The sequence below is a fragment of the Homo sapiens genome, chromosome 3, assembly GCF_000001405.40.
Source record: "Homo sapiens chromosome 3, GRCh38.p14 Primary Assembly".
NCBI classification, from domain to species: domain Eukaryota; kingdom Metazoa; phylum Chordata; class Mammalia; order Primates; family Hominidae; genus Homo; species Homo sapiens.
In genome coordinates, this window is record NC_000003.12 from 150,670,273 (window position 1) to 150,689,139 (window position 18,867).

Genomic DNA, 18,867 nt, shown 5'->3' on the forward strand with positions numbered 1-18,867 from the left:
AGGAGATTGAGATCATCCTTGCCAACATGGTGAAACCCCATCTCTACTAAAATTACAAAAATAGCCAGGCATGGTGGTGTGCACCTGTAGTCCCAGCTACTCAGGAGGCTGAGGCAGGAGAATTGCTTGAACCTGGGAGGCGGAGGTTGCAGTGAGCCAAGATCGTGCCACTGCACTCTAGCCTGGGTGACAGGGCAAGACTCCATCTCAAAAAAAAAAAAAAAAAAAAAGTTCTAGCCATGGAAGTTTAGGGAAAAAAAAAAGGAAATGAAAAGCATCCAGATTGGAAAGGGAAGTAAAACTGTACCTATTAGCAGATGACATGTTCTTGTATATAGAAAATCCTAAGGAATTCATAAGATAATGTATTAAACCCGATAAATGAGTTCAGCAGGGTTGTAAGCTACAAGATCAATATACAAAAATAAATTGTATTTCTATACACTAACAGTAGACATTCTAAAAATGAGATTAAGAAAGCAATTCTATTTTCAATAGCATCAAAAGCAATAAAATATACTGAAGATAATTCACTAACTCTTAATACTCATTTCCATATCCAGGCTGGTTAGAAGTCCAGAAATAAACACAAGATTGATTCTAAATCATTTTGCAAATCAACCACAGCCTTCAAGAAAGTTAAGAGGAATAAAGTCAGGGCATGAAATGATTAATAATAAAAGTTGGAAAACTGTATATTTTTATATGGTTTTTATACAGACACAGCCTGTAGTCCCAGCTGCTTGGGAGACTGAGGTGGGAGGGTCACCTGAGCCCAGGAGTTTGAGGCCAGCCTAGGCAACATAATAGGATTCTGTCTCTAAAAACTTTAAAAAAATTTTTAGGTCAGGTAAATTATTTAAAATTTATTGATGTAATTAAAACAAAACCTACACACTCTCATAAGGTCTAGGGAACTAAAACTTCATTATGCTTCCTATTCTGTGAAAGTCATTTTTCTGGCTTACTATTGGGGTTTAAGTAAACACTTACGAAACGATGACCAAAAATGACTTTCTTCTACAGGGGGAGGCTCTCAGTTCATGAAAAGCCTCCTCATTTTTTTGCTTCTTGTTTTTACTTTCCTCAGATATTATGAGGATCTGAAAAGCTCAAAAAGTTTAAATATTAAATGAATGACCTGGCCATCAGGCAGAAAGTCCAAGTGATCAATAACTTGGTGTTCCATGAAATGGATATTTAATTTTGGTATTAAAAATTGTCCACCACTCATGGGTGTGTAAACTGGTATATATTTTCTGGGGTGGAGGGATGGCAAAATCTATCAAAGCTTTAAAATGTCCAAATTATTCTTCCAGAATTTCTAGCCCTATATGTTTATTTATTTATTTACTTATTTATTTAATTTTTTGAGATAGGGTCTTGCTGTGTTGCCCAGGTCAGAGTGCAATGGCACGATCACAGCTCACTGCAGCCTCCACCTCTCTGGCTCAGAAAAATCCTCCCACCTCAGCCTTCCAGGTAGCTGTAACTACAGGTGTGCACCACAACACCTGGCTAATTTTTTGTATTTTGTTGTAGACACAGGCTTTCACCATGTTGCCCAGGCTGATCTCAAATTGCTGAGCTCATGCGATCTGCCCACTGTGGCCTCTCAAAGGGCTGGGATTATAGGCATGGGTCACCATGCCCAGCCTCAACCCCTAGGTATTTAATTCAAGAAAATAAGTGGTAACTATGCCACAAAGTATGCACAAAGCTGTTTATTTAGCTGTTGTGTATAATAGCAAAAATTGTGAAACCACTTTTGTTCAGTAATAGGGGATAGGTTAAATGAATTATAGTACATCTATATAATAAAGTACTATGTGGTTATAAAACGGTGTTGCTACCTGTGGATGGTTTTTTGGGGAAAAAATGTGTTGTATCTTTATATTTATTGCATATCATATATTTATAACATTATTGTATAATTTCATTATGTAAAGGAGTCAGAAAATATGAATAAACAAAGAATCCATTTATATATACATATATATATATATGCTCATACACAGAAAAAACATTTTAAAAAACCCCATAGGCCGGGTGTGGTGGCTCATGCCTGTAATCCCAGCACTTTGGGAGGCCAAGGTGAGCAGGTTACCTGAATTCAAGAGTTCAAGACCAGCCTTGGCAACATAGCGAAACCCTGTCTCTACTAAAAATACAAAAATTAGCTGGGCGTGGTGGCATGTGCCTGTAATCCCAGCTACTCGGGAGGCTGAGGCAGGAAAATTGCTTGAACCTGGGAGGTGGAGGTTGCAGTGAGCCAAGATCCCACTACTGCACTACAGCCTAGGTGAGACTATGTCTCAAAAAACAAACAAACAAACAAAAACCATATATTTTTCTTTTTCTTTTTTTATTTTTCTCTTTTCTTTTTTTTTTTAATTGCTCTTCGTGGAGCAGGGCTACTCCATAGGAATTGTGTTCAGAATAGCCAAAAAAACATATATTTTTAAATGCTGGCCAGACACAGTGGCTCACACCTGTAATCTCAGCCATTTGGGAGACTGGGGTGGGAGGATCGCTTGCACCCAGGAGTTCAAGACCAGCCTGGGCAACATAGAGAGACCCCATCTCTACCAAAATTTAAAAAATTAGCCAGGTGTAGTGGTGCATGCCTGTGGTCCCAGCTACTTAGGATGCTGAGTTGGGGGGACTGCTTGAACCCAGGAGGTTGAGGTTGCAGTGGGTCATAATTGTGCCACTGCACTCTAACCCGGGCCTCACAGTGAGACCCTGTCTTAAAAAAACAATAGTAATAAAATGCTAACATCTTTTCTTTGGGTGGTAGAATTTGAGGGTAGTCTCTCCTTCCTTCCTTCCTTCCTTTTTCCTTCCTTCCTTCCTTCTTCCTTCCTTCCTTCCTTCCTCCCTCCCTTCCATCCGTCTTTCTCTTTCTTCCTCTCTTTCCTCTCTCTTTCTTTCTTTCTTGGTCTTGCTCTGTCATTTAGGCTGGAGTGCAGTGGCATGATGATGGCTCACTGCAGCCTTGACCCCTCGGGCTCAAGCAATCCTTTCACCTCAGCCTCCTGAGTAGCCAGGACTTCAAGGTGTGTACCACCACACCTGGCTAATTTTCTTATTTTTTGTAGAGATGAGCTCTCACTATGCTGCTCAGGCTGATCTCAAACCCCTGGGCTCAAGTAATCCTCCTGCCTCAGCCTCCCAAAGTGCTGGGATTATAAGCGTAAGCCACCACACTAAGTTCCTTTATAGTTTTGTTTTATCTTTCTATTTATGTCTTTTTAGTTAAAATTTCTATTTTTCAATTACACTGGATCTTTATCTTTTTCTGTGTTTTGTTTGTTTGTTTGTTTGTTTTTCTGAGACACGGTCCCACTTCGTTGCCCATGCTGGAGTGCAGTGGCACAATCTCAGTTCACTGCAGCCTCTACCTCCTGAGCCCAGATGATCCTTCTACTTCAGTCTCCCGAGTAGCTGAGACTACAGGCATGTGCCATCACGCCCAGCTAACACTTTGTGGAGACGGAGTTTTGCCATGTTGCCCAGGCTGGTCTCAACCTTCTGAGCTCAAGTGATCTGCCCACCTCAGCCTCCCAAAGTGCTGGCATTACAGGTGTGAGCCACTGCACCCAACCATGTATTTCCTTCCTTGAGCTTTCTTTTTTTTGAAGTAATAAAGCTAATAAAAATAACTTGTTGAAAGAGGATACAATATTTGTGTTGTCCCATCTGGAAATGAAGTCAGAAACTTGCTCCCATGTTTGTAGTGCTTCTCTAAGAGCTCATTCCTGACAACCTATACACCACAGAAAAGAAAAGACACTTAATTGTTTCGGACATAAAGTAGTAAGTACGACAACAATGGACATCAGCTGGTTACTAGACAGTCATACAAATCAATTATTAATTTAAATGTTGGCCCTGCTTCAACAACAGGAGACAACCCTTAGCAATTATTAACAGATTGTCCCTAATCCTTGCAAGTATAACTTGATAAAAATCCTTCTGGTAGAAATCTGACATTACATATCTATTTTAATTTTTTTTTTTTTTTACTTTATACACGTTACTAAAAGAACAAAACAAAAGCAGATAAAAACCAGCCCCAGCACAATGTGCAGTGCCATTGCTATCATAAATCAGATATTCATGCATGCATGAGTCTGTTTCTGAACTCTATTATGCATATGGATTTCCTTGTTTATCCTGCCCCAATACTATACTGCCTTAATTACTATATTTTGTAATAGATCTTAATTTCTGGTAGAACACATCCTCCTTTCCTCAGCCTCTTCTTCTTCAAGAGTGTTTTGGTTACTCTAGGTTCTTTATATTTCCACATACATTTTAGAATCAACTTGTCAAGACTTCCCTTCCCCCAATACACACACATATGCAATCTTGCTGGAATCTGAGATTATACTGGATCTATGGATCACTCTGGAAAGAATGATCAAAGAGTGTCATCTTTAAAATATTTCCTCTGCCTATCCATGAACATTAGGTCAAATTTGGTAAATGGATTGCTCATATTTTCTATAGCATTACTGCCCCCCAACCTTTTTTTTTTTTCTTGGTCTAGTAGTCAATTATTGAAAGAGGTAGTGCTGGGCGCAGTGGCTCACACCCATAATCCCAGTACTTTGGGAGGCTGAGGCAGGTGGATCACCTGAGGTCAGAAGTTCGAGACCAGCCTGGCCAACATGGTGAAACCCTGTCTTCACTAAACATAGAAAAATTAGTTGGGCGTGGTGGCACACGCCTGTAATCCCAGATACTTGGGAGGCTGAGGCAAGTGAATTGCTTGAACCTGGGAAGCAGAGGTTGCAGTGAGCCGAGATCATGCTACTGAACTCCAGCCTGGGCAACAGAGCAAGACTGTCTCAAAAAAAATAAGAGGTAGGCTAAAATATCTCATTATGAATATGGTTTTCTTTATTTCTCCTTTTACTTCTGTGAAATTTTGCTTCACATATTTTTGAGGCTGTGCTAATATGGACAATGTATTTTGTAATGCTATATCTTACTGGTGGATTGAAATTTTGTCAATTAAAAAGTGATCATCTTTATCTTTATTTTATAAAGTGATCCTCTTATCTTTATCTCACACTTTTTTTTTTGAGACAAGAGTCTTGCTCTGTTGCCCAGGCTGCTGTGCAGTGGTAAGATCTCAGCTCACTGCAACTTCCACCCCCTGGGTTCAAGTGATTTTCCTGCCTCAGCCTCCTGAGTAGCTGGGATTACAGGCATGTGCCACCACGCCTGGCTAATCTTTGTATTTTTAGTAGAGATGGGGTTTCACCATGTTGGCCAGGCTGGTCTCAAACTCCCTACCTTAGGTGGTCTGCCTGCTTTGGTCTCCTAGAGGGCTGGGATTACAGGTGTAAGCCACTGCACCTGACCTAGCTTACACTTTCTTGAAATATATTTTAACTGGGTATAGAATTCTAGATTGGCCATTGTTTTTTTTTTTTACCACACTGAAGACATTCCATTGCCTTTGAGCCTCTATTGTTGCTGTTGGGAGGTCATCTGCTAATCTAATTGTTTTCTTTTAAATGTAACCTGAACTTTTTTTCCTCTGCTACTTCTAATAATTCTTTCTTTCTTTCCTTTTTTTTTTTTTTGGTCTTTGGTTTTCTGCAGTTTCACTATGATGTGTCTAGAATTTTTTTTTTTTCTCATACTGCTTGAGATCACTGGGATTCTTAAACCTGTTGATTGGTCTCTTTTATCAGTTTTGAAAAATTATCATCCATTATCTTTTAAAATATTACCTCTACCTGATTATCTTTTTTTCTCTTCTTCTGGGATTTTGAACAAATGCACGTTAGACCTTTCTTTTTATTTTTGTTCCATACACTCTCTCTTGTGTTTCTTGCCTTTTTTAATCCCCATAATGAGTTTTGATATTTTTTCTTTTCAACCTTTCTTCCTGGGCAGTAGTTCTTTCTTTAGTGGAGTCTAACCTGCTCTCAGCTTTCATCTTTTAAGTTTTTAATTTTGATTGTTGTATTTTTCATTTCAGCTGTTGCAGTTTTCATTTTCATTTCAGTTCATTTTTTTCCATTTCAAATTTGCTATGTCAGTTTATAGTTTTCTGTTCCCTTCATATATCTTCAAGCTGATCTTTTATTTTCATGATCACGGTTAGACTTCCTCATTTTCCAAAGTCTTTTCAGGTCTCTTCTTATTAGATATTATTCCTCTAGATTTTTAGTTGTATTGTTAAGTTTTCTTGTGTTCTTGGTTATTTTTCACTGTGTGCTGGTAACTGAACTTGAAAAATAATTTGTAGGTGTGATTTGAAGGTGGAATTAGTGACCGTCCTCCAAAGATAGTTTGGATTTACTTCTGCCAGTCACCTGGGTTTACTGACAGCCCTTACATTCTTTTGGTTTGTTTGTTTGTTTTGAGATGGGGGTCTTGATCTGTCACCCAGGCTGGAGTGCATGATCATAGCTCACTGCTATCTCAAACCCCTCAGCTCAGGTGATTCTCCTGCCTCAACCTCCCAAGTAAGTGAGCCTACAGGCATGTGCTGCCATGCCCAGCTAATTAATTAAAAAAAAATTTTTTTTTTTTTGAGACAGAGTCCTGCTCTGTTGCCCAGGCTGGAGTGCAATGGCGCGATCTTGGCTCACTGCAACCTCTGTCTCCCAGGTTCAAGCAATTCTCTGCCTCAGCCTCCCAAGTAGCTGGGATTACGGGTGCCTGCCACCTTACCTGGCTAATTTTTGTATTTTAGTAGAGATGGGATTTCACCATGTTGCCCAGGCTGGTCTCGAACTCCTGAGCTCACACATTCCACCCATCTTGGCCTCCCAAAGTGCTAGGATTACAGGCGTGAGCCAACACACCCAGCCAAAAACATTTTTTTAGAGATGGGATTTTGCTATGTTGCTCAGGCTGGTTTCAAACTCCTGGCCTCAAATGATCCTCCCACCTTAGCCTCCTGAGTAGCTGGGATTACAGGTGCAAGCCAGTTTGCCTGGTTCACCCCTTAAATTCTATATCTCCCAAGTTAAACAAACCAGGTCTCAGTAATTTAATTACGAGAGGTCTATTCTGAGGGACTATACTTACATAGAAATGTACTTACATACACGGATATTTAAGGAAATGGTATTTAGTATAGCAAAAAAATTGTTAAGAATCAGTATGTCCGAGAACAGAAAAATGGGTTAAACTACATGATAAATTATATAGCTATGAAAATAATATTAATGTAAACTATATAATATCATGAAAAAAAAATTTTTTTTTTTTGAGACAGAGTTTTGCTCTGTCACCCAGGCTGGAGTGCAGTGGCACAATCTCGGTTCACTGCAACCTCCACCCCCAGGCTCAAGGGATCCTCCTGCCTCAGCCCCCCCAAGTGGCTGGGACTACAGGTGCATGTCAACATGCATGGCTAATTTTTCTTTATTTTGTAGAGATGGGGTTTTGTCTTGTTGTCCAGGCTGGTCTTGAATTCCTGGATTCCAGCAATCCGCCTGCTTTGGCTTCCCAAAGTGCTGGGATTAAAGGTGTGAGCCACTGTACCTGGTCTTGGAAAATTTGTTTTTATAATTAAGTTAAAAAAGAGATAAAAATTATATATATGATACAATTATAAGTATGTTAACAAAAACCCATGCAAGGAAAACCATCTAGAACAGTGCTAATATAACTTTTGATTACAAGAAAAATGTTCTATATCATCACTGCAGTACAGTAGCCATTAGTTACATGTAGCTGTCTAGGACTTGTGGAATGGCTAGCGTGACTGAGAAATTACACTCTTAATTTAATTTAAGTCTAAATAGCCAAATGTAGTATTGCTACCATATTGGGCAGTGCAAGTCTAGAAAATATTGAAATATTAATGTTTTGGGAGAAGTGATTGGGACTTTTGGTAATTTTCTTCCCTTCCTTTTAATTTTCTAAGGGTTCCAAATGTTCTCTAATATGCAACTCTTACATTTTAAAGTAAACAGCCTTTAACCCAAACATATGACATTGTTATAAAGTCTAGCAGAAGTTAAAAGACCAAGTCTGTACCAATTCTTTTTGACAACTAGTTAAATGCATCATGTAGCCAAGCTTCATGAAAGACTTTATAATTTTAGGTAAAACTGGTTTTTTTTAAAATAGCAAGTAAAAAAATTACAAGTTCATTACCTTTCCACATGCTATCCGAGAATCACAACAAATGATAGACATGTTACTGTTTCTTAGTTGAAAATCAAATACAATGTCATCAATTATCTGTTTTTCTGGAATATCCACAGAAAGTTGATAAGAAATTGTTTTTAAGCGCTTTGAATCTAGTGGGAAAAGAATCACATAGAAATACATATATGTTTTAAATTTTCTAAAGCCTCTTTTCTAAAATGAAATTTCAAACCCCAATATAAATGCACTGATTCATAAGACATTTTTATATTCAAATTTTTCATCATCTTTAAAAATTTTATTATTCCCCCTTGTCAAAAAATGAGAACATTCCTTTGTTAAAAGAAGAAAAATGAGACTGGGCACAGTGGCTCACACCTGTAATCCCAGAACTTTGGGAGGTCGAGGCGGGTGGATTACTTGAGGTCAGGAGTTTGAGACCAGCCTGACCAACATGGTGAAGCCCCATCTCTGCCAAAAATACAAACATTAACTGGGCGTGGTGGCGTGTGCCTGTAATCCCAGCTGCTTGTGAGGCTAAGGCAGGAAAATTGAACCGGGAGGCAGAGGTTGCAGTGAGCCAAGATTGTGCCACTGCATTACAGCCTGGGTGACAGAGCAAGACTCTGTCTCAAAAAAAAAAAAAAAAAAAAAAAGACAATTTTCATTAAGTGAAACTTTCTGGCCTTAGTTCTAGCAGAACTGATACTCTAACAGTTGGATATCAGGAAACTTTGTATTAGGGATTTAGTTACAAAAATAAATAAAAATATATCTTCTCTAAGTATCTTTTTTTTTGGCAGTTCAACTTTTATTTTTATTTATTTTTATTTTATTATTTCAATAGGTTTTTGGGGAACAGGTGGTGTTTGGTTACATGAATAAGTTCTCTAGTGGCAATTTCTGAGATTTAGGTGCACTTACTACCTGAGCAGTGATGTGAAGTCTTTTATCCCTCACTACCCTCCCACCCTTTCCCCCTGAATCCCTAAAGTCCATTGTATCATTCTTATGCTTTTGCGTCCTCATAGCTTAGCTCCCATCTAAGTATCTTTTCAGTAGCTCTGGGTGGTAGAGGAGGAGGCTTATGCCCAGAAAGATTAAGTCATTTACCCCGAATCAGACAGCCTGTAAGGAGAAAAGCAAGGATATAAATCCAGGACTTCTGATTCTAAACTCAGTGTTTCTTCAACTGTACCAGTACTACAGTGATACTGGTGAGCCAACTTATACGACAACTAATATATGAAGAAAATAAGCTGACTTTTTTTTTTTGAGACAGTTTTTCTTTTGTTGCCCAGGCTGGAGTCAATGGCACGATCCTGGCTTACTGCTACCTCTGTCTCCCAGGTTCAGGTGATTCTCCTGCCTCAGCCTCCCGAGTAGCTGAGATTACAGGCGCCTGCCACCATGCCCAGCTAATTTTTGTATTTTTAGTAGAGATGGGGTTTCACTATGTTGGCCAGGCTGATCTCGAACTCCTGACCTCAGGCGATCCACCCGCCTCAGCCTCCCAAAGTGCTGGGATCACAGGCGTGAGCCACCGCGCCCAGCCAAGTTGACTTATTTTTGACAGATTTTCCATATCCAAGCTTGAAAACAAAATGGAAAGTATGCTTAATAAAATATGAGACAATGAACTTGAAAGCTCTTTGCAGTTATCTGTAAAGTGCTCTGTAGGTGTTGCTAATTTATTTCAATGAATAATAACAATGAGATGAAGACTGAAAACTCCAAAAACCAGATGGCTGGAAACACTAGCTTTTCTGGGCCATTTTGACAGATGTAGGCTATACTGAACTTAGAAATAAAAATTTTTCAATACTACTACTTATTATTATTTTTCATAGAGACAGGATCTCACTATGTTACCCAGACTGGTCTCAAACTTCTGGGCTCAAGCGATTCTCCCACCTTGGCTTCCCAAAGTGTTGGGATTACAGGCGTGAGCCACTGCACCTGGCCAATACTATTTTTTAAATACACCCATTTCATCTTTTGGTTAAACATCTGAGCTTTCTGACGTTGTACAGCTGGTCTATAAGATCAGCACTAATGAACTCACCATCTTCAGAGAAATGAGTCTGTTCCCTTGATATTATTGCAAAATGTCTGGCCATTCGTTGCTCCTGTTTCCTACAAAATCAGAAAACATCAGGCATAAATCTGAAATGTGGTTGAAGCTTAAAACAGTCTACTACAAAATTCAGCTGCTTAAATGCCATCCTTGTCTGTTTGATCTGTTATTACTTGTGAATCTAGGAAATACATCTTCAAAGTTATATATCTTGAAAAAATGAGGTTCATTTACAAAACGAGCTCCGATTAAGCCGGCCTGTATGAGTTTCAGTATCGAAGTCTCAATGTTACCTTTGCAGGGCTTTTTCTTTTGCCTTGAGTCTGTCGACCTCACTACCATGGGCTGCATGAGGGTCAATAGCAATTAATTCAGCTTTAGGGGGTTTGGTTTTTATTTGCTCCTCATAGATATAGTCAATCAGATTTTGGAAAGCAATACAACAGGAGGCCTGGAAAACACAGAAGTTACTCTCATCTCATTAGTCCTAGATGAGGAGGATTAGAGGGGATAAAAATGACTAACAAGGTTTGGATAACAATCCATCATAAGTTTTTATTCTGGTAATAGCTTTATTAAGATATAATTCACATACCATACAATTCACCCATTTAAAAAGTACAATTCATTTGTTTTAGTATATTCACAGAGTTGTACAGTCATCATCACAATCAATTTTAGAATCTGAAACCTGTCCTCACTAACAGTCACTTCCTCTCCTTTCTTCTTCACAGCCCCTGGCAACCACTAATTTACATTCTGTCTCTCTAAATTTGCCTGTTCCGTACAGTTTATAAAGTGGAACCATACAACATGTGGCACTCTTTATGTCTGGCCTCTTTCACTTAGCATAATGTTTTCAGGATTTGTCCATATGGTGACATGTTTCAGTACTTCACATTTCTTTTTATGGCTGAATAATAGTTCGTGGTATGGATATACCACATTTTATTCATCCATTCATCCATTGATGGACAGTCGGGTTGTTTCTATATTTTGGCTATTACGAATCATGCTGCTGTCAACATTTTTGTACAAGTTTTTGTGTGGACATATGTTGCCATTTTCTTGGGTATAAACCTAGGAATAGAACTGATGGGTCATATGGTTACTGTATGTTGAACCTTTCAAGGAACTACTAGAGTGTTTTCCAAAGTGATGCACCATTTTATATTCCACCTCAGCAGTACATGTGGGTTCTAATTTCTCTACATCTTTATCAACACTTGTTATTATCTGTCTTTTAAATTATACCCATCCTAATGGGTGTGAAGTGGTATCCCACTGTGCTTGTGATTTGCGTTTCCCTGACAGCTAACACATAACTCTTTTTTTTTTTTTTTTTTTTTTTTGGAGACAGAGTCTCACTCTGTTGCCCAGGCTGGAGTGCAGTGGCACGATCTTGGCTCACTGCGACCTCCGTCTCCCGGGTTCAAGCAATTCTCCTGCCACAGCCTCCCAAGTAGCTGGGACTACAGGTGCACACCGCCATGCCCGGCTAATTTTTTGTATTTTAGTAGACACAGGGTTTCACCGTGTTGCCCAGGCTGGTCTCGAACTCCTGAGCTCAGGCAATCCACCCACCTCGGCCTCCCGAAGTGCTAGGATTACAGGTGTGAGCCATCAAGCCCGGCCTAACTCTTTTAAAAATGGCAATGCAGGGGAAAGATGCAAGAGAAAATACTACATATGTTTAAAGATAATACTATTTCCACAGTAAACCTGACTTAGAACTTACATGCCCTTTTGGTTCAGAGGAAACATCCACATTAGAAAAAAATGCTCTTAGATCGCTGCCACAAAATTCACATTTGGGTGATGTCTCCTCCTCTTCATCCTTCAGAGAGAGAGGAAAAAAATTAAAGAAGTCCCCACAAAGAGGCCCAGAGGCTCTGAGAGCAGCAGGAGCACGACCCTGGGCATGGTCAGTGAATGGAACAGCAGTGGTGATGAGATGTGCCAGTAAGTGATATCACTTCCATTTAAGGGCTGGTGAGGCTTCAGGAGCCTGAGGTGGTGTTTTGCAGGTCTCTGTCTGGTGCAATTCCCCAGAGCAGAGTTGAGCCTATCAGGAAGTGTGTGGTCTTCAGAATGCCTTCCTGGTATAAGAAGAAAGTTGCAGAAATGAATTCACTGTGGATACCAGAGTCCCTTGTTGGGGAGGGGAATGTGTAGTGTGTACCTAGATGCAAGAGATAAGGATAACACACACTGGATTTTATACAAATGATCTAAGTATTTGAACATCATTAACTCTTTCAAGAAATGCCAAGTAAGAAAAAGCCTTGACATTACTGTGTAGGCCAACATGTACAATGACCAACTTTCTAAAATAAATGAGAATCCTTTCTCTGGGGAGCCTAGGTTGGAGCTCTGAATTTTGTCTGTATTGTGAAGGTAATTCAGGACAGGGAGGAGGAGGGGACACAAAACAAGGGAGAGATTGGGAGTTAGGGGCTCAGCTGACTCAATGTGGAGTGGCCATGTCAATGACCTGAGGTCATGTCTGTGATTGCACAGGCTCCTGAGCAGGTGAGCAGCCAAGCCTCAGGACAGGCCTCCAGGAAGAGACCCAGATCATGACTTGCAGATCATTAACAACACCAGGGCATCTGTATATGCCATGGTAACCATTCTCTGAGACTGGCAAAAATGCCTGACATAGGGCTAAAAAGTGACTAAGGTGGCCAGTGCAGCCAGGGATTCACTACCCCAGAGTAATGTCCAACATATTTAGGCCACTGAAACTACCCAATAGTAAGTACTGCACATTGCTAAAAGCAGAATGCTTGGAGAGTGAAGTCTCGCACTAGAGAGATGATGGAGGAAAATCTAGGATAGCTATCAAATGATGGAGTAGGACAGAAAGAGAGCTGGGCAATACCAAGCCATTCACAACCTGCTCCATACAAGGGACTTGGTTGTGAACTTCTCAGCCCGTTGTCCTTTCACCCTCAGCTAGGGGTGAAGCAAGATGGAGATACTTCAAAAGACCATGAGGGAGGCCGGGCATGGTGGCTCACACCTGTAATCCCGCACTTTGGGAGGCCGAGGCAGGCCGATCACCTGAGGTCAGGAATTGGAGACCAGCCTGGTAAACCCTGTCTCTGCTAAAAATTCAAAAATTAGCCAGGCACGGTGGTGTGTGCCTGTAGTCCCAGCTACTAGGGAGGCTAAGGTAAGAGGATTGCTTGAACCCGGGAGGCAGAGGTTGCAGTGAGCTAAGATCATGCCACTGCACTCCAGCACTCCAGCTTGGGTGACAGAGTGAGACTCCATCTCAAAACAAAACAAAAACAAAAACACAAAGACCATGAGGGGAGTTTGGATCTTCACCTGAAGAGGGTGTGGCTAGAGAGAAGAGCTGGGCAAGCCAGCCACTGCTACCCCTGAACTAGATTGGCATCATCACTAGACCTGAAAGACCTGCTGAGGAGCAGGAGGAGCCAGCCTCGTCCAAGTGCCAGTTCAGGGACGTCTTGGGGGAGAAGCCGCAAGGCCTTCCCCATGGTAAGACCCATCTCTGGGTGTTGCGGGAGGCGAGTATAACCTCAGAGACATCCCTAGATACAAGCCTTTGTGGTGCAGAAAAAGGAAGGTGCTACATTTAAATAAAGAATTTCAGGGCTGGAAGTGATGGCTCATGCCTGTAATCCCAGAACTTTGGGAGGCCAGGGTAGGGATATTGCTTGAGCCCAGGAGTTCAGCCCACCCTGGGCAATATAGTGAGACCACATCTTTTCAATAAATAAATAAAAAAACAAAAGAATTTCAGCCCGAAGAGTCTGTTGAGTGACCGTAAAGTTTAGAAACCTGGGTAAATATAAAGAGTAAATGTTTATAGATATTATATTACATGATATACTTAATGTTTCCCCTCACTAGATTGCATAGCTCAAAGTGCTGTACAAAATAGCAATGAACACCACCTCAGTGCATCCATACGGCATTTCCATTCATCTCTACATGTGCATCCATGACATGTTGCCTTGCATGATTCGTGCCCCTTATTGTTAATGAATAAACCTCCACCTTTACTATGCCCAAGAAGAAGTCATCAAGGGTTCTCAGATCTGGGGAGTAAGCAGTTCTCTCCACATGGCCATGGCATCCAGCCCAGGTTTGGAAACAAGCATTCCACCAGTCAGTCCCTCACCACTCTAGCGGCAGTGTGGTGGTGCACCATCTTATTGGAATACTTGAGGTAAACTTTCTCTTGCCCTTCAAATACAGGCATTAATCGGTCACTTCACATGACCAAATATAGCAAATATTCACCCATGTTTCCAGGTTTTGTTCTTTTTCTTTCTTTCTTTTTTTTTTAATAATAAGCCTGGGAAACATAGTGAGACCCATCTCTGCAAAATATTTAAAAAATTATCTAGGCATAGTGGTTCACACCTGTGGTCCCAGCTACTTGGGAGACAGAGGTGAGGATTGCTTGAGCCCAGGAGGTTGAGACTGTAGTGAACCATAATCGTGCCACTTACACTGTAGCCTGGGTGACACAGCAAGACCTTGTCTCAAAAAAAAAAAATAATAATAATTTTTTTAAAAAAGACAGGGTCTCTCTCTGTCACCCAGGCTGCTCTCAAGTGATCTGTCTCAGCCTCCCAAAGTGCTGGGATTACAGGTGTGAGCCACCGTGTCTGGCCTGTTTCCAGGCTTTGCGGCCACTCTTACAGGTTGAATTGTGTCTCCCAAAAAGACATATTGAAGTCCTAACTCCTGGTACCTGTGAATGTGACCTTATTGAGAAATACAGTCTGTGCAAATGTAATCAAGTTAAGATGAGGTCATGAGAGTGGGCCCAAATCCAACTGGACTTGGTGTCCTTAGAAAAGGGGGACATTTGGACCCAGACACACAGAGAGAATGCTGTGACAACTGAGGCAGAGATTGGAGTGATGCAGCTGCAAGCCAAGGAATGCCAAAACTGCTGCCACCACCACAAGCTAGGAAGAGGGAAGGGAGGATTTTCCCCTATATGTTGGCCCTGCCAAAACACTGATTTCGAACTTCTAGTCTCCATAACTACAAGACAGTAAGTTTCTGTTGTTTTAAGCCACCCAGTTTGTGGTACCTGTTATAGCAGCCCTAGGCAACTAACACAGACACTCTAAGTGCTATTCTAAGTAATTGAGCTCTTTGGCTTTTTTTTTTTTTCCTTTTAGAGTATTTTCACTGTCTATTGTGCAAATCATTATGTTTTCTTATGTCATTTTTTTAAGAGTAATAATAAGAAACATGAATTAAAGTCACCTTGAAGTTAATGCCTAAATTGGAGCTCTCTTCTTTGTATGCCAGAATGGATGGTGGTCCGATGCTGGGTAACGTTCTTAGAGAAGGCTCGAACAGTGTTATGAAGTCTTCCTTAAACTAAATTTAAAAAGAGAAAGGGGTGGTGAGGGGAAATAATTGAAGATTTGATAAGCCATTTTTACTATGAGAACAGTGTACTAGTTAGTATGATAAACATTTCTTACCTCCAGCTCATATAAAATATTTAGTTTCGACTCTTCTGGATTAATTACCCATTTTTCTGGAGAGAAAGAATAGATTCATAAGAAATGTTTAAAGCCTTTGTGCAGTGCATTCCACTTCTGTAATTTGGAGATTCACACCCACCATCATCCTCCTTGCCCAGCACGCACACACTGTTCAGATGCCCTGATCCCTGACGTTTTCGCCACCTTCTCACACCTGTTCTTAGGTGAGTCCTTTTTCAAAGCAGATGGGCTCTGTGCGAGTTAAGGTGATTCCCTTCTGGTAGTTTACCTTTGCCAGCAAAAGGAGATGATGCCAAACATGTATTTACCTCTTAACTTAGATGCCAGACATTCAGGTTCAGCTTTCTCTTTAGAGGCTTTCTTCCCTGTGAAAACAGGGTACATGTGTCATCAATCTGACAAAGTAGAAAAGAAGCTGAATATAAAAGAAAATACATCTCTCAGAAAAATAACTACCCTTACTATGTTTCTTTTATCTTTTAATCTTTTGTCTCTTTTTCCAAATAACATTTTGCCGACAATAAGGAATAAACAAAGGAAAGTTAGCATTCTATATATCACATTTTAAAATGTTTCCCCTTCCTTTCTAGTCCTAGAATACAGTAGTCCCCCTTGATCTGCAGGGGATATATTCCAAAATCCTGAGTGGATGCCTGAAACTGCAGGTATACCAAACCCTACTATGCACAAATTTCTTTTTCCTTCACAATTTTACAGATAGAAGGTTCATTCTTAGCATGTATCTTAGCAACCTCAGCATACTATTTTTTTCTTTTTTAAATGAAGTCAATAACTTTTACCTTTTCACTTAAAGGATACACTTTATGGATGCTCTTTGGCATATCCAAATTGCCAACATCACTTCTCTTGAGCTCTGGGGCCATTATTAAGAAACTGAGGGCTAGGTGCAGTGGCTCACACCTGTATTCCCAGCACTTTGGGAGGCCAAGGCGGGTGGATCACTTGAGGTCAGGAGTTCCAGACCAGCCTAGCCAACATGGCAAAACCCTGTCTCTACTAAAAATACAAAAATTAGCCAGGTGTGCTGACAGGCACCTGTAGAACCTGGGAGGCAGAGGCTGCAGTGGGCCAAGATTGTGTCATTGTACTCCAACGTGGGCTACCAAGCAAATGTGTGTCTCAAAATAAATAAAAGAAATTAAGGGTTATTTGAACATAAGCACTGCAATACCACTACAGTCGATCTGATAATCACAACGCTGCTAAGTGAATCCAACGACAAAGAGATAATTCATGTCCCAGGCAGGACAGAGTGGGATAGTGAGAGATTTCGTCACTCAATCAGAATATCATGCAATTTACGACTTACGTGTTGATTATTTCAGAAATTTCCCACTAACATTTTCAGACTGCAGGCAGCTGAAACCACAGAAGATAAAACTGTAGATAAGAGGGGACTATTATGCTACACAGATCAATATTTTCCTTGGTTATAATCATGCTTTGCATACCCTTTTGTTTTCTGCTTCTTTTAAGTACCATCAATCTACTTTATGTCTGTTATTCTTCATGAGATTTTTCAGGTAGGAGGGTGCTGAGGGTTCTATTTCAAGACAGTGAAGTAAACCACCAGGATTATTCTATCTAGATTCCAGAGCAGCACTGGAAATGGGGAAGAAGCCATCCACAAATCAGCAACTTTGAGTAAATGTCTAGAAGCTTTAAAGCACATAGGATTGGAATGATGAAAAACCAATCAGAGCAACCTATAATGGGACAGAGGCAAAGGAAAGAGGCTATTAAAATGCAAGGGACTCATTTTCTTAGCAAAGCCAGGAGAGCAAGGGCTGCTGTTGGAGACAGATAGGCTTCAGAAGTTGATTTGGGCTGGGTGTGGTAGCTCATGCCTGTAATCCCAGAACTCTGGGAGGCCAAGGTGGGGAGATTACTTGAGTACATGAGTTTGAGAACAGCCTGAGCAAAATACTGAGACCTGGTCTCTATGAAAAACTTTAAAAAAAATTAGCTGGTTGTGGTGGTGCATGCCTGTGGTCCCAGTTAGTGGGGGCTAAGGTGGGAGGATTGCTGGAGCAGGAGGTTGAGGCTGTAGTGAGCTGAGATCACGCCACTGCACTGAAGCCTGGGTGACAGAGCAAGACCTTGTCTCAAAAAGTAAATAAACAAATAAATAAATTTTTTTAAAAAAGAAGTTGATCTATTTTGGGGAGGTTGGGGGGCAATGTGGATCATCTGAAAAAATTTTAAAGATGTTTTAGGCATCTTTCTCTATAGAAATGCCAGCACAGGTATGTAAAAAAATTAATGCACAAAGGTTTTTATTAATACATTATTTGTTATAGGGAAGAGCTCAAAAAAAGCAAAAAAGCAAAACAAGACAAGAACAACCCCGATATGTCTAGCATTACATAAGTCACAATAACTGTATATGACGAAATATTATGCAGTAACTTCAAAGAATTAGGTCAATCATTCCTGACATGGAGAGATGTCCGTGATACATTGCTGTCTTAGTTCATTTGGGCTGCTATAACAAAATGCCTTAAACTGGGTAGTTTATGGGAAAGGAAAATATATTGGGGCCCCAAAATCACTAAGTTGAAAGGAAAAGTCAACCTGGGAACTGCTTAGGGCAAACCTGCCTCCCATTCTATTCAATGTCACGCCTCTGCTCACTGAGATTAATGCATATCTGATTGCCTCCTTTGGAGAGGCTAATCAGAAACTCAAAAGAATGCAATCATTTGTCTCTTCTCTACCTACGACCTGGGAGCCCCCTCCCGGCTTTGAGTTGTCCCGCCTTTGAGTTGTCCCGCCTTTCCAGACGAAACCAATATCCATCTTACATATGTTGATTGATGTCTCATGTCTTCCTAAAATGTATAAAACCAAACTGTGCTCTGACCACCTTGGGCACATGTCACCAGGACCTCCTGAGGCTGTGTCACAGGTGCGCATCCTCAACCTTGGTAAAATAAACTTTCTAAATTAACCGAGGCCTGTCTCAGATTTTCGGGGTTCACATTTTAGTAACCACAGAGGAATTCTGAGTGGAGGTACCCCTGATATTTGACAAATCTTCTATCGGTGCTTGGTACTAGCTTGAGCTATCTGTATGGCTCAAACCAATAGGACAATTTGCTGAGGCTTGGAAGCACCCCCTCCAGAGAA

General features: G+C 40.6%; 1 protein-coding gene across 3 annotated transcripts in view; it reads right to left on the reverse strand.

The window, feature by feature from the left end:
- ERICH6 (glutamate rich 6) overlaps window positions 1-18,867 on the reverse strand; it is a 44,036-nt gene that overhangs the window by 10,388 nt on the left and 14,781 nt on the right. For all 3 annotated transcript variants that reach the window (NM_001308234.2, XM_005247120.4, NM_152394.5), the window contains exons 4-11: window positions 16,026-16,082; window positions 15,694-15,749; window positions 15,470-15,586; window positions 11,946-12,044; window positions 10,501-10,658; window positions 10,196-10,266; window positions 8,137-8,282; window positions 3,684-3,769 (exon numbers count right to left, since the gene is read on the reverse strand). In NM_001308234.2, coding sequence (NP_001295163.1) covers window positions 3,684-3,769; window positions 8,137-8,282; window positions 10,196-10,266; window positions 10,501-10,658; window positions 11,946-12,044; window positions 15,470-15,586; window positions 15,694-15,749; window positions 16,026-16,082 — 790 coding nt within the window. The remainder of the gene's footprint in view (window positions 1-3,683; window positions 3,770-8,136; window positions 8,283-10,195; window positions 10,267-10,500; window positions 10,659-11,945; window positions 12,045-15,469; window positions 15,587-15,693; window positions 15,750-16,025; window positions 16,083-18,867) is intronic.